This window comes from Homo sapiens, chromosome 1, assembly GCF_000001405.40.
Source record: "Homo sapiens chromosome 1, GRCh38.p14 Primary Assembly".
Classification (NCBI taxonomy): Eukaryota; Metazoa; Chordata; class Mammalia; order Primates; family Hominidae; genus Homo; species Homo sapiens.
In genome coordinates, this window is record NC_000001.11 from 94,885,617 (window position 1) to 94,898,484 (window position 12,868).

Here is a 12,868-nt window from a genome sequence, read left to right on the forward strand (position 1 = left end):
GCAGATGGGCCTGAACGAGTTAGAGGTCCACTTCATGGAAGATGGACGCAACATCTATGACACGCGTGGAACCGGGGGCACACTACTTTACCTCTCTGTGCTTTAGTTTCCTTAACTACCTCATCGGGTTGGAGTTAAGAGGACTAAATGAGTGAATGTGTTCGGGGAGAGGTAGCATAGAGCCTGGCACATAGTACATGCAAGATTAATGCCATTATTATTTATTATTAGCGTTATTATTTATTTACACACAGAAGTTGCACACCTGCCTACTGACTGGAAAAGAAAAAGGCCACAGATGGAAATTAGAAAGTTGTAGCTATCATTAGGTCTGTGCCAAGGCATTTGGGATATATCACTAAGGCATCCACCGAGGTGGGGGTGGAGGGGAGCCAGAGTGCCTGGAGGAGTTACTATTCCTAATACTCCTATTTTCTCCCAAGAAGAACTCACGGTCTTTGGGCCTAGCCCCTGGCTTATGACTGCTGGCGGGTCGGTGTGCTCAATGGCTGCATGGCCACCACAGCATTTCCACCCAACTCCAGCAGAGCCCCGTAGGCATTGTGGAGGTGCTTGGGGAGTCTCCTAGGCTTGAATAGGAATGAGCCTTGGAAGGTGCAGAGCTTCGTGGCTCAGCAGAAGATGGTGATGAGGGAGATCTGACCTGAACTTCCCCAGGGCAGCCTGGGAGAGCTTCCAGAGGCACAGGCTGAAAATCGTGAGTCCTCCTGAAACTTCCTTTCACTGCTCTTGCTCCACACTCTGCATCAGCCCCACCCACCGAGGGCTGACCCCCGACTCTTCCAGACCTGTTTCCCATTTCTCCTCTGCTGGGGCCCCCCAGTAGCCTGCTGGTATGCTCATGTCTGTGGCTCATGTTGCTGGCTCCTGCTGCTGCCTCCTACCCTGCTGGAGACAGGCAACACTGGGGCCAGCTCGTATGCCACTTCCATGAAGCCTTCCCTGATCCCTCCTGCTGGGCCCTCTCTTCCCCTCTCCCTCCAGCTTGTGGTTCTGCTCTTTGTGGCCCTCACATGTGCACTTGTGCTATGTATTTCATTGTTTTGAAGCCCTCACAGCCACACAGGGCGTCCTCATTGTGTTCTTCCCCCAGTGCTTCTCAGCCACTCGGGACAGTCCCAGGTGACCAGTCCATTAAAGTCTGAAAACTAATCCACCTGTACCTGGAGGGAGTCTTGGATCCCAAGCAAGGGAGTGAGAATTGGGACATAATATTGAGATACTACCAATGCCAACTTGGGAATCCTTCCTCGTATCTGTCTTGTGTGTTTATAGCTTCAATTTCAAGACAGAAATATCCACCCACCTGTTTTGTGATGCTAAAGAAGTATGCACACTGAATTTTGGGAATAAATCAAAAGCCGAATGCCACTACCTCCTGCTTGCTTGTTTAAAGGTTAGCCTTTAGGATCTCTTAACTTCCACAACCAATAAAACGTGTTTCCTAGTCCTTATTATGGCCAATCATTTCCACATTTTGTTAGAGTCTGCAGATTACCTTGGCACGTTAATCCTGAGTTCTGTCATCCCAGGCAAATACAAATGCTCAGAACAAGGACTTACGATGAAAATGTTAGTGCACTCCATCTTCCAGCTGCCTGACAAGCAGCTTCTACTCAGAATAAGTATAAATTAGCTAATGCTGAAGCTGCAGAAATGTTTAATCCGTATCCTGTGTCTTGAGTGATTCCTCCCTCCTCCCCCTATTCATTCAGATGTTAATTCTAGATCTCTCTGTTGCACTCAGGGTTGAATCTGGTAAAATGCTAGTGGTATGGTACCTGCAGGAAGGCATATATAATTTCTCTATCAGAGTGCTTTTAATGCCTTCTTTCAGTGGGCCTGATACATAAGAAAAGATAAATGCTTATGGGCCCCAAAACTCTTTGGAGTCAACACATGCATGAGAAAGTATAATACCTTTTTAAATTTTAATCATTTTAGCCAAAGAGCGAAATCTGTTTTTACTACTTATGAGAGATGGTGCTAAATTAAATACGAGGCAGTGATCTGCAGAAAAAGAAGTCCCCACAAAAACAGTGCTTCCCCATGGGAAGCAAGAAGCACTTTAGGAAGCTTAGAGTGGGGAAGTGATGGGGTGGTGGGCTGGAGGCAGCCTGAATGAAGAGAGGAGGCAGAGACAGAGGCTGAGCGGCAATGGTGGAGCTGCTGTAAGACGATGCTGGGGGCTGGCAGGTGGTCTAAAAAGCCCTTTCCTGGATCCCTGTGGGTGTGAGGGATTAAAGCCTACAGGTAAAGCAACTACAGGCCCCTGCCACACCTCCTCAGGTGCTTAAAGAGTTGCCTCTGTGTTCCCAGTTGTAAATGAGATCATCTTTGGTGATGTCTGGATGATAATAACCACTCTTTATTACACATTTTCTCTGTGCTTTACAGGGAGTAGGTTCTTTAATCCTCCCAACATCCCTTTGCGGTAGGTGCTGTAAGTCATTTTATAGATGAGGAAATTGAGGTCTTAGAGAGGTTAGATCATTTGCCCAAGACCAACAGCTAGTCAGTGGTAGAATTGGGATTTGAGCACAGAGACAGTCTGGCTACAGAGCCTGTGCTTACCGTAACCACCATGCTTTTAAATAGCAATTTTTCCTAATGAAAATTGATAGTGTAATGTCCAGAAGGTTAGAATTTAAAAAATTAAAATAAAACGGTCTCTGTCTCATGGATTCACCAGGGGACCTGGGGGAAATGCCCTTGATCTTGGTTTCCAGTCTATAAAAGAACAATTATGCCATTCTTCACCCACCCATCCTACAGATGTGCTTTGAGGATGAATGAATAGATTGGTCATCAGGGCTTTGAAAACCCAAGATGATTGAAGATGCCTAGTTAAATAATATGAGTAAATGAGTTTCCACATCCCTGCACAAGACTCAGGCCCCCAAACTGGAGCAGCTTTCCAGCAACAGCTGGTTTGAGATTTTCAAAGCAAATTTCACGCACATTCTATGTAAGTCCAAAACCAAAATTTCCTTGTGGAACTTTCTTTTTTTTTTTTGCAGGAAATTCATCTGACGTCTCACTGAAAATCTCTAAGGCAAGCATGGTGCCCTATCAGGGATATGGTTTCCAGCCTTTTGTCTTTTTTTTTTGAGGCGGAGTCTCGCTCTGTCACCCAGGTTGGAGTGCAGTGGTGCGATCTCGGCTCACTTCAACCTCTGCTTCCCGGGTTCAAGCGTTTCTCCTGCCTCAGCCTTCCCAGTAGCTAGGATCATAGGCATGTGCCACCACGACTGGCTATATATATATATATATACACATATATATGTATATTTTGTATTTTTAGTAAAGACAGGGTTTCACCATGTTGGTCAGGCTGGTCTTCAACTTCTGACCTCTTGATCTGCCCCAACCCCTGGCCTCCCAAAGTGCAGGGATTACAGGCATGAGCCACCGTGCCTGGCCCAGCCTTTTGTCTTTAAGAACCAAACATTCTTCTCTTGCTGGCCTTGAAGAGGGAGTTTGGTAAATTGGGTCAGTTAATTCTGCTCCCTTAACCCTATGCTTGTTAGTGGTCTTCATCTCTTCTACTTACTCTATTAGGACCCGCACTGTGGGAGGCTGATTACTGCAGTAGACTCCACACTGATTTCCTTACGATGTGTCTGAAGGGGTGTACAAAAGGGTTAATTTGTATATCATGAAATAAAAAACTTTCATCCTTTATCCAAACCAAAAGGAATGACAACAACCCAAGCAGGTAGTATTCTCATGTATTTTCCCAGGAAAGTTATAAATTCTTGTTGTAATCTGCAATGCAAGTAGCATTTTTAAAGATTTCAAGAGACATAAATGGTCTTGAAATGTAGTCATAAGGGGAAGGTATTTTGGAAAAAATAACCTGAGAAATCGTCTCATGTGAACATAATCACACACACACACACACACACACACACACATTTGTAGTCTTTGATATAGTAATCTTGTTTCTGAGAATTTATGCTTAAGAAATTATCTAAAATCAGGAAATCAAGAGTTCATTGCATAGTTGTTTATAACAGCAAAACATTTGAAACAGTCAACATGTCCCAGCTACACACATGCACGTACACATGCACATATGTATATCCCAGAATATGCGTTAAAAATTAAAATTATAAAAGCCATGTAGTAACATAAAAATGCTTATTATACAAAGAAAAAAGCCAGATATATAATCATGACACCATACCAGTTACACTGTATATTTTTTATTTCTAGCTTTTTTTTTTTGAGATGGAGTTTCGCTCTTGTTGCCCAGGCTGGAGTGCAATGGCACGATCTTGGCTCACCGCAAACTCCGCCTCCCGGGTTCAAGCAATTCTCCTGCCTCAACCTCCCGAGTAGCTGGGATTACAGGCATGCACCACCATGCCTGGCTAATTTTGTATTTTTAGTAGAGAAGGGATTACTCCATGTTGCTCAGGCTGGTCTTGAACTCCTGACCTCAGGTGATCCTCCCGCCTCGGCCTCCTAAAGTGTTGGGATTACAGGCATGAGCCACGGCACCTGGCCTATTTCTAGAATTTCTATTCAATTTGTTTTCTACTCTGCCTCTTCATTTTTCATACTGTTCTGTTTATTCCTTATGGTCACTGTTTCTTTCACTATTTTCTTAGTACCTTAAACATACCTCTCTAAATACTTTTTTTCCAGGTTGTTCTCAGGGTAGATTCTGTTTGTTGTGATGTTCATTTCCATGGGTCCTCTATAAAATTTTCCTGTGAGCTCCTCGTCTTCTCCAAGGGTTGTTATCTGTAGGACTCCTCTATTCCCTGGCCTGGGAGGTGGCGATGTTGCTTTGCCTTTGCAAAACCCTAGTAATTTTAACACTCTTAGGCACATAGTGCATTTCTGTACCACCTTCCTGGAATGGCTGACTGAGGCTGAATTGAGTATGAATCCTGAATTTGTTGAAGGAGCTCACTTCCCTAGCAAGGGCCTAATTGCATGCCTGTTGCACCTTTGGGTTCAGCTCTCACAAACCATTAGATCCCGCTTGCTTTCTGGTACCTAAACTTCCTTTCCTGCCCTCAAACTCTATTGTGCATTAAAAAATAACTTATCGCCAGGGTGGTGGCTCTCGCCTGTAATCCCAGCTACTCAGGAGGCCAAGGTACAAGAATCGCTTGAGCCCAGGAGGCAGAGGTTGCAGTGAGCCAAGATGGCACCACTGCACTCCAGCCTGGGCAACAGTGTAAGACTGTCTCAAAACAAGCAAATAAAACCCTTATGCTTTACCCATCATTTCCACATGTTTGTAGTGGGACATTCATATTAACCATAAGTACCTATTTATCTTTTCTATTTGCTGCAACTATATGAAAATATATATGGATATAATCAGACTGGAAAGGACTTTGAAAATGGTATTTGTTATGGGTAGAGAGAGTAGGTTTATTGTAACTCTAGTTTGCAAACACTCTGTATTAATATATTGCCTTAAAAACAATTGTTATAAGAATTATCTTTTAAACAATTCTCTTCTGTTTCAGAATGCATATACTACAACTGCTATTAATGGGACAGATTTCTGTACATCAGCAAAAGATGCATTCAAAATCTTGTCCAAGAACTCAAGTCACTTTACATCTATTAACTGCTTTGGAGACTTCATAATTTTTCTAGGAAAGGTGAGATATCTTGACTAAATAAAGGAGCCTGGGATTCTGAAAATTAAGCCATACAACAATTGGTTTGAAAGGGAACTATATTTCTTGAGTACTTACTCTATAGTGGGTGCTGTGCTTCATTATCTCATTTAATCCTCAATCCCATGAGGTATCCCTACTTTGCAGAAGAGAAAATGAAGGTTTAATAACCTTTCCAGGGTACTACAATAGGTAGAGCCAGAATTTTAATCTTAGTCTTACTCTCTTACCTGTGATCAGTTCTACCATTCTGATTCCCTCTTTTTCAGGTCTAAAATGAAAATGCTACTAATCTCAGAAAATGAACGTTTGTGGGTTTCTCATTAAGAATATATGGAAAGAGTATTGAAACCTGGACTGGGCACAGTGGCTCACATGTGTAATCCCAGTATTTTGGGATACCGAGGCAGGCAGATCACTTGAGGTCAGGAGTTTGAGATCAGCCTGGCCAACATGGGAAAACCCCGTCTCTACTAAAAATACAAAAATTAGCCGGGTGTGGTGGCGGGTGCCTGTAATCCCAGCTACTCAGGAGGCTGAGGCAGGAGAATCACTTGAACCTGGGAGGCGGAGGTTGCAGTGAGCCGAGATCACACCACTGTACTCCAGCCTGGGCAACAGAACGAGACTCTGTCTCAAAAGAAAGAGGGATGGTTTCTAAAAAAAGTTTTAAAGTGAATAGGCTTATTTTGGTGTTAAGTGAAAAAGCAGAATAAAAAGCTTGTGAGATATTATTACATTTATATAAATACAAAAGCTAGGCACAGATAAAATTACATATAACCTTCCTACTCGCCATTAACTGGGTTTCCTTTTGATACAGCTTTTCATTTTTTCCTCTATTTCATTCTGCCAAAATTTCTGACAAGCATTCTTTACAATAGTGCACACACACGTTGCACACAGGAACGTATATTAAACCATTACTTGTAACTGACAAAAACATCTAAGCAACTGATTCATAAAGATTTTCAACAAACTCTTCTTTTGCACAGGTGTTAGTGGTGTGTTTCACTGTTTTTGGAGGACTCATGGCTTTTAACTACAATCGGGCATTCCAGGTGTGGGCAGTCCCTCTGTTATTGGTAGCTTTTTTTGCCTACTTAGTAGCCCATAGTTTTTTATCTGTGTTTGAAACTGTGCTGGATGCACTTTTCCTGTGTTTTGCTGTTGATCTGGAAACAAATGATGGATCGTCAGAAAAGCCCTACTTTATGGATCAAGAATTTCTGGTAAGCAAACATTTCATTTCCAATTGCAATCTCCATGCTCGCAATCTTGAAAGTTTTGTAAAGCTGCACACACGAAAGAGGCTCATACCCAGCCTCTCTCTTCTAGAGGGCTCTGAGGCTTCTACTACCCCCGGGCCTGAAAGTGGGATTTGCGCTGAACTCTCCAAGGCTGAACCCACCTCCCTTTCTGAGAACCTTCTCCCTGAAGAAGTGAAGCTGAACAAGAATGCTGATCAGATGGATTCCTAAGTAGCAGCAGCACTTCTTACCCTGGGCAGAAGATGTCCTGAACACAGTAGTTCAGCTCCCTTTGGTGCTCATGGCATGATCTGGCCTTTTGGGTGGTCTAGAAGTTTAACAGTTGATCTTTTTCTAAAGCATTTTTGCATCTCCAAGCATGATGTTCATACCCACTATATTAGGGAGAGCACACTTGTGTGCTCCTCTGTGCCAGTATTGACAGATCTGCAATTCTCAGGCCCTTTATTAGCCCAGGCACACCAGTGTGAGAAAAGCCACACCCTCAGCGGAGCGCCCATACTGCTTATATCTGGAAATAGCAGGCAGCTGTTTGCAACAGCCTTTGCAACACAGTTGTTGCTTATTTGCCTTATCCTGGGTAGACAGGGATATTTTAACAGCTGAATGATGTCTCATCTCTTTTCCTTGTCTGAGTTATATGATATTTGCATACTTTTCTTTCATTCTGTTGCCATAAAAATTAGGTGTTAAAGCCCTTTTAGCTTTAAACAGAGCATTTAATGCACTCTTTGGTTCAGCAGGCACTCAATTTTTTAAGAACCACTTCTACAATTTATAATTAATGTATCCTCATCCTTCTCCATATAAAACATAAACTACAAATTTTACTTTTTTTTTTGAGACAGAGTTTTGCTCTTGTTGCCCAGGCTTGAGTGCAATGGCGCAATCTCAGCTCACCGCAACCTCCACCTCCTAGGTTCAAGCGATTCTCCTGCCTCAGCCTCCCAAGTAGCTGGGATTACAGGCGTGCACCACCACGCCTAATTTTGTATTTTTAGAAGAGACGGGGTTTCACCATGTTGGTCAGGCTGGTTTTGAACTCCTGACCTCAGGTGATCCATCTGCCTCGGCCTCCCACAAGTGCTGGGATTACAGTTGTGAGCCACCGCACTCAGCCAAAATACAATTTTTACTTTTTACTTGTTTATTGACTTATTTGTATGTACTCTAAGGAAAGTGCTTATGATGGTGGTATGTAGCTAGCCAGGTCTCCATCCCCTGATTTACTTTTCCAGTTAAAAATCCACCTTGAAATCCGGGCACTATGGCTCACACCTGCAATCCCAGCACTTTGGGAAGCCAAGGCAGGTGGATCACATGAGGTCAGGAATTTGAGACCAGCCTGGCCAACATGGTGAAACCCTATCTCTACTAAAAATACAAAAATTAGCCAGGCACAGTGGCAGGCGCCTGTAATCTCAGCTGCTTAGGAGGCTGAGACAGGAGAATCGCTTGAACCCGGGAGGTGGAGGTTGCAGTGAGCTGAGATGGCGCCATTGCACTCCAGCCTGGGCGACAGAGGGTGACTCCGTCTCCACCACCTCCCCCCCAAAAAAAATCCACCTTGAAATTTACCCCTTAAAATAGTTTTTTCAACAGAAGAAACTTTCTTAAGGATCCAGTTATCTGAAATTTAAGGCCAAGAACTTGTAAATGGCTATCATTGGGACTCAGAAATTGATACTCCATAATATGGCACTTTGACATGCTGAACTGAAGAAGCCTCAAGAACTCTCTGACCTTCTCCCAAAGCACAGGATGAAGCTGTCATCTGAATGAAATCCCCTTATCTGCCTAAAGTCCAGACCCACCAAAGAAAAAAACCACCTCTGGCCCCTTCCCTGAGTTTTCCATTAACTGGACTTATATAGCAGAAACAAAGACTAAATTCAGTCAACACACCTGGACAGACTTTTGTCACAAACCACTGTCCTGTGGGCCCAACAGACTTTGTTCCCAGCCACTAAGTGTTCTTCAAGCTCATTAAACTCCCCTAAAAGTAATTCACCACCCCCATAAAATCATCCACACTTCCCCATCTCCCTTTCCCAAAAACAGAATTATCTGTACCCCATTTAGACACTCACTGTGATTCTCCCCTGTGCTACTTTATATGCCATTTCTCCTGTTAATCTGCCTTTTGTAAGTTAATTCTTCAGCAAACCGTCAGAGGGCAAAGGAGAAGTTTTCCCTCGGCCCCTACGTTATCAACAGTACAGACACATAATACTATTCTAACTTGTTCTTTTGTTTTTCAGAGTTTCGTAAAAAGGAGCAACAAATTAAACAATGCAAGGGCACAGCAGGACAAGCACTCATTAAGGAATGAGGAGGGAACAGAACTCCAGGCCATTGTGAGATAGATACCCATTTAGGTATCTGTACCTGGAAAACATTTCCTTCTAAGAGCCATTTACAGAATAGAAGATGAGACCACTAGAGAAAAGTTAGTGAATTTTTTTTTAAAAGACCTAATAAACCCTATTCTTCCTCATTGTCTTTGTCATTATTGTTTGACCAGGTAACAATACTGGAACTATATTAGTTTACCTTTTTTTGTACAAATTAGGACAGAAAAACTCTTCTAAAACCATGTTTATATGCATCAACTTACAAAGTACACTATGTAAGAACTGAGGTAAGTTTGTAAGTGCACAACTAATAAATAAACCTTTTTAAGATAAGGATTTTGTTAGCAGAAATCTCTGGATTTTTTTTTTTAAAGGGACAGCATCTCACTATGTTCCCAAGGTTGGAGTACAGTGTCTATGCACAGGTGCCATCATAGCTCACTGCGGCCTCCAGCTCTTAGGCTCAAGTGATCCTCCTGCCTCAGCCTCCCAAGCAGCTGGGACTACAGGCATGCCACCATGCCCAGCTTGGAAAGTTGCTTTTATACAGAGTAGGATACTTCCCTACTCAGCCAATCCTGGAAATATGCTAAATGGATTAACTTTTCAAAGTACAATTCTTAGATTTGGTGACAATAAAAGCCAAAACTGTCTACTCTAACATGAACTACCACCTGAACTGGGCATGTACAGGAGAGGCAGGAGTGTAACCAATGATTTAGTCTGTGCACATGCTCTTCCTTTTTTTCTGAATACTCTTCCTCCTCTTTGCTAATGGCAAACTCCTACTTATTCTTCAAAACCCAGCTCTGATAGCATCATGCTTCTGCAATGCCTCTGAGCAGCATTACTTGCCCTCTCTTCTGTCCTTTTCCTCCATGCTCTTCTCTGATATGACTGTGAATCCACTTTCTGTTATGTCTCTCCACCAGATCACATTCCGTGATGGCACACACAATTTATCCAAACTCCTGATACACAAGCACTCCTCTTACAGCAGACATTCTGGAAGAAGTGGTTTTCAACCACAGCCCCACCTGAGAAATTACCTGGAGACAGATTTTTAAAAATACTTCTGCCTGGACCTCAGAGATTTATGTAGATGGGAGTGAGGGGAAGAGCTTTTCGTTTTTAAAACTCTAACCAAATAGAAACATTTTAACATGTTGATTGGCAGCCTCATGGGAATCAATCTGACTTAAATGGCAGGGCAGGTAGTGTGATATAAGGCTTCCCTTCCCTAAACTTTGAAGAGTCAAAGATGACAAGGAAAGCCTTAGAACTCAGGTCTACTTTAAATGCAATGACTTTTTTCTTAAATGCCACCATTGAATTAGGTTGACTCCAATAGTTTCCTTTACAAGCAGTTTCCCAGAAGCATTAAACCTAGTCATTGTGGAATGATGAGCAAATAGCCTTCACTTTTGTGGGCTCATCAAACCATGTGTATATACTCCTCATCTCTCAGCAAAAAACAGACGGTTTTCGCCCCCAAACCTAATAGAGCCAATCCTATTAGAAGACATGGCTTGGCTGAGACAATGTCGGAAAGTGTGAGTTACTAATTTTCTTTTAGTGACTGCATTTTTGTCACTATGACACCTAGCTATTGTTTGTCCTTCCCTCTGTCAGGACTGAAGGTTTATGTTTCACTATAAACCCTGGCTTATTACCAAGCAGCACATCCTATGGCTGACCTAGCATGTTTCTTATTCATGTTTACTTACCCTAAGATAGGAAAATTCCCCACCCCTCCTGTCAATATTCCTAAAGATTTTAAGATTATTCCAAGTTGAATTTAAGATGAATCTGGGCCAGCCAAGTCAGTGAAATAAGCAAGGGTCAGAAAATGATTAGAATTCTGTCATTTACTATGTGTAATGGTTTCCTAAGCCTCAATCTCCTTAAGCATAGAGTGCAGTGTTGTGTGAAGTAAATAAAATGTTAATGTACCTTGTAACAGTACCTAGGAAAAAGGTACTTAAAAAAAAATCTGACCCTACCTATCTAGAAGCTAGCCAGAAAATAATCAGCCTGTGGTTCATATGAAAGTTCAAAAAAAATATTTATTTATAAAAAATACAATGGGATAAGTTTATGCTGAGAAATGCAGCAATAAATACAGTTGAAGAAAACAGAGCAACTCTACATTGATACATTGGCACAAACAGGAAGAGCAAATGCATCACCCAGGCCTAAATGTCCACAGGCCACTTTTGTACATGCTCTTTTAGAAACACCACTCTGAAAAGATCTTGTTCGCTAGGTAAGAGAATGAGTACACATATAATCACAAATGCACACTGATCATGACTTTATTTAAAAATTAGCAAACAATACTGTAGAAACATTGATATGTAAATTTCTAAAATGCTGCATCTTAAATTTAGTTGGCAAAGACCACATTTAGCAATAAGCATGAGTTTAGTCTTCCATGTAGAAACCAGATACACTAAACTGTAAAAAAAAAAAAAAAAAAAAAAAGTTTCCTATTGTTTGAAAATACCAGTTTAATATAAGATTGTAAAAATGCATAGATTTTTGCATAAAAGAACTGGCTGTACAAGAGTACTCCCCTTTCACAGTATTCCTTTTTACTTCATATGCGAGTTATTGATTATGCTGTAGGATTTAACTATTACAGCACTAAAAGGCAACTATTGAGGGAAGAGGCAGAAAAAGGAAAAAGGAATGTACGTAAGGCAATTTTTCTTAAAAGTACAATAAGCTTAATAGTGTTTTAGGAAGACAAGATAAAAATTACTCAAGGCTAGCTTGGTTCTCACTGAATAAAAACAAAGGACTAAATACTGAGCTCCTTCTGTGTGGATCTAATAATCAATGCCTTGGTCGCTATATTGGTAATCTCTGGGGTAGTCATCCTGGTACTCGCCATGATACTCATCAGGGTATTCTGCCTGATAATCACTATCACTGATTTCCGAACCATTTGTTCCTGTTCCTTGGCTTCCGTTGTGAATGACAGGTTCTGTAGGAGCAGCACAGTATTTGGGATCATATACTTGCCGCCCAAGCCCATACACACTCATTCCTTTCTGGGAAGCAACTTTGTTGGTACCCATCTGTAGGGAAATTGTCGAGTTGTCCACCGGCTGTAATGTTAGCTTCTGATCATAGATGTCTCTTCTGGTACCTGGTGCTAACATCCCTGCCTGGTATTAGAACATAGTATAAAAGTTAAAACAGCAGCTAGAATCTATTCTTGTGAATAATTTATAAATTATAGAATTCACATTGAATATGAACAGTAATACATGAACTTTCATTTGGTTCAGGGGTAAAGCTAGCTTAACCAAAATATCCTGATACCGAATCACTTCCATGAAGCAATATTCATTGGCTTTTGAGCTAGGTGAGACCTTTCTTCAAAATCCTTGCTCTGCTATAAAATTACTATGTGGCCTCAAACACGTAAATTTAGCTTTAGGTTTCTCAAACTGCAAAATGGAGACATTACTACCTACTCTGGATTTAAGAGAGAATGAGACATAAAGAATGTGAAATCATAATGCTTCCACACCAGAAAGTTCCATGTGAATGCCCATGGGGACCA

At 41.8% G+C, this 12,868-nt stretch overlaps 2 protein-coding genes across 27 annotated transcripts in view; one reads left to right on the plus strand and one right to left on the minus strand.

Annotated features, from left to right (window-relative positions):
* The window catches only part of SLC44A3 (solute carrier family 44 member 3), a 74,891-nt gene extending 65,260 nt beyond the window's left edge, over positions 1-9,631 (plus strand). For 7 of the 22 annotated variants that reach the window (XM_005270440.3, XM_017000262.3, XM_047444888.1 and 4 more), the window contains 3 exons: positions 5,514-5,651; positions 6,665-6,901; positions 9,202-9,631. In XM_005270440.3, the coding sequence (XP_005270497.1) occupies positions 5,514-5,651; positions 6,665-6,901; positions 9,202-9,306 (480 nt within the window). In that variant the 3' untranslated portion in view covers positions 9,307-9,631. Of the gene's footprint in view, positions 1-2,796; positions 2,990-3,041; positions 3,077-5,513; positions 5,652-6,664; positions 6,902-9,201 lie in introns of those variants that run through there. The other 15 variants (NM_001114106.3, NM_001258340.2, NM_001258341.2 and 12 more) reach the window with 5 other exon arrangements.
* Positions 9,632-11,340: 1,709 nt separating this feature from the next.
* Positions 11,341-12,868, minus strand: part of CNN3 (calponin 3) — a 30,154-nt gene continuing 28,626 nt past the window's right edge. For all 5 annotated transcript variants that reach the window (NM_001286055.2, NM_001839.5, NM_001286056.2 and 2 more), the window contains one exon: positions 11,341-12,467. In NM_001286055.2, coding sequence (NP_001272984.1) covers positions 12,126-12,467 — 342 coding nt within the window. In that variant the 3' untranslated portion in view covers positions 11,341-12,125. The remainder of the gene's footprint in view (positions 12,468-12,868) is intronic.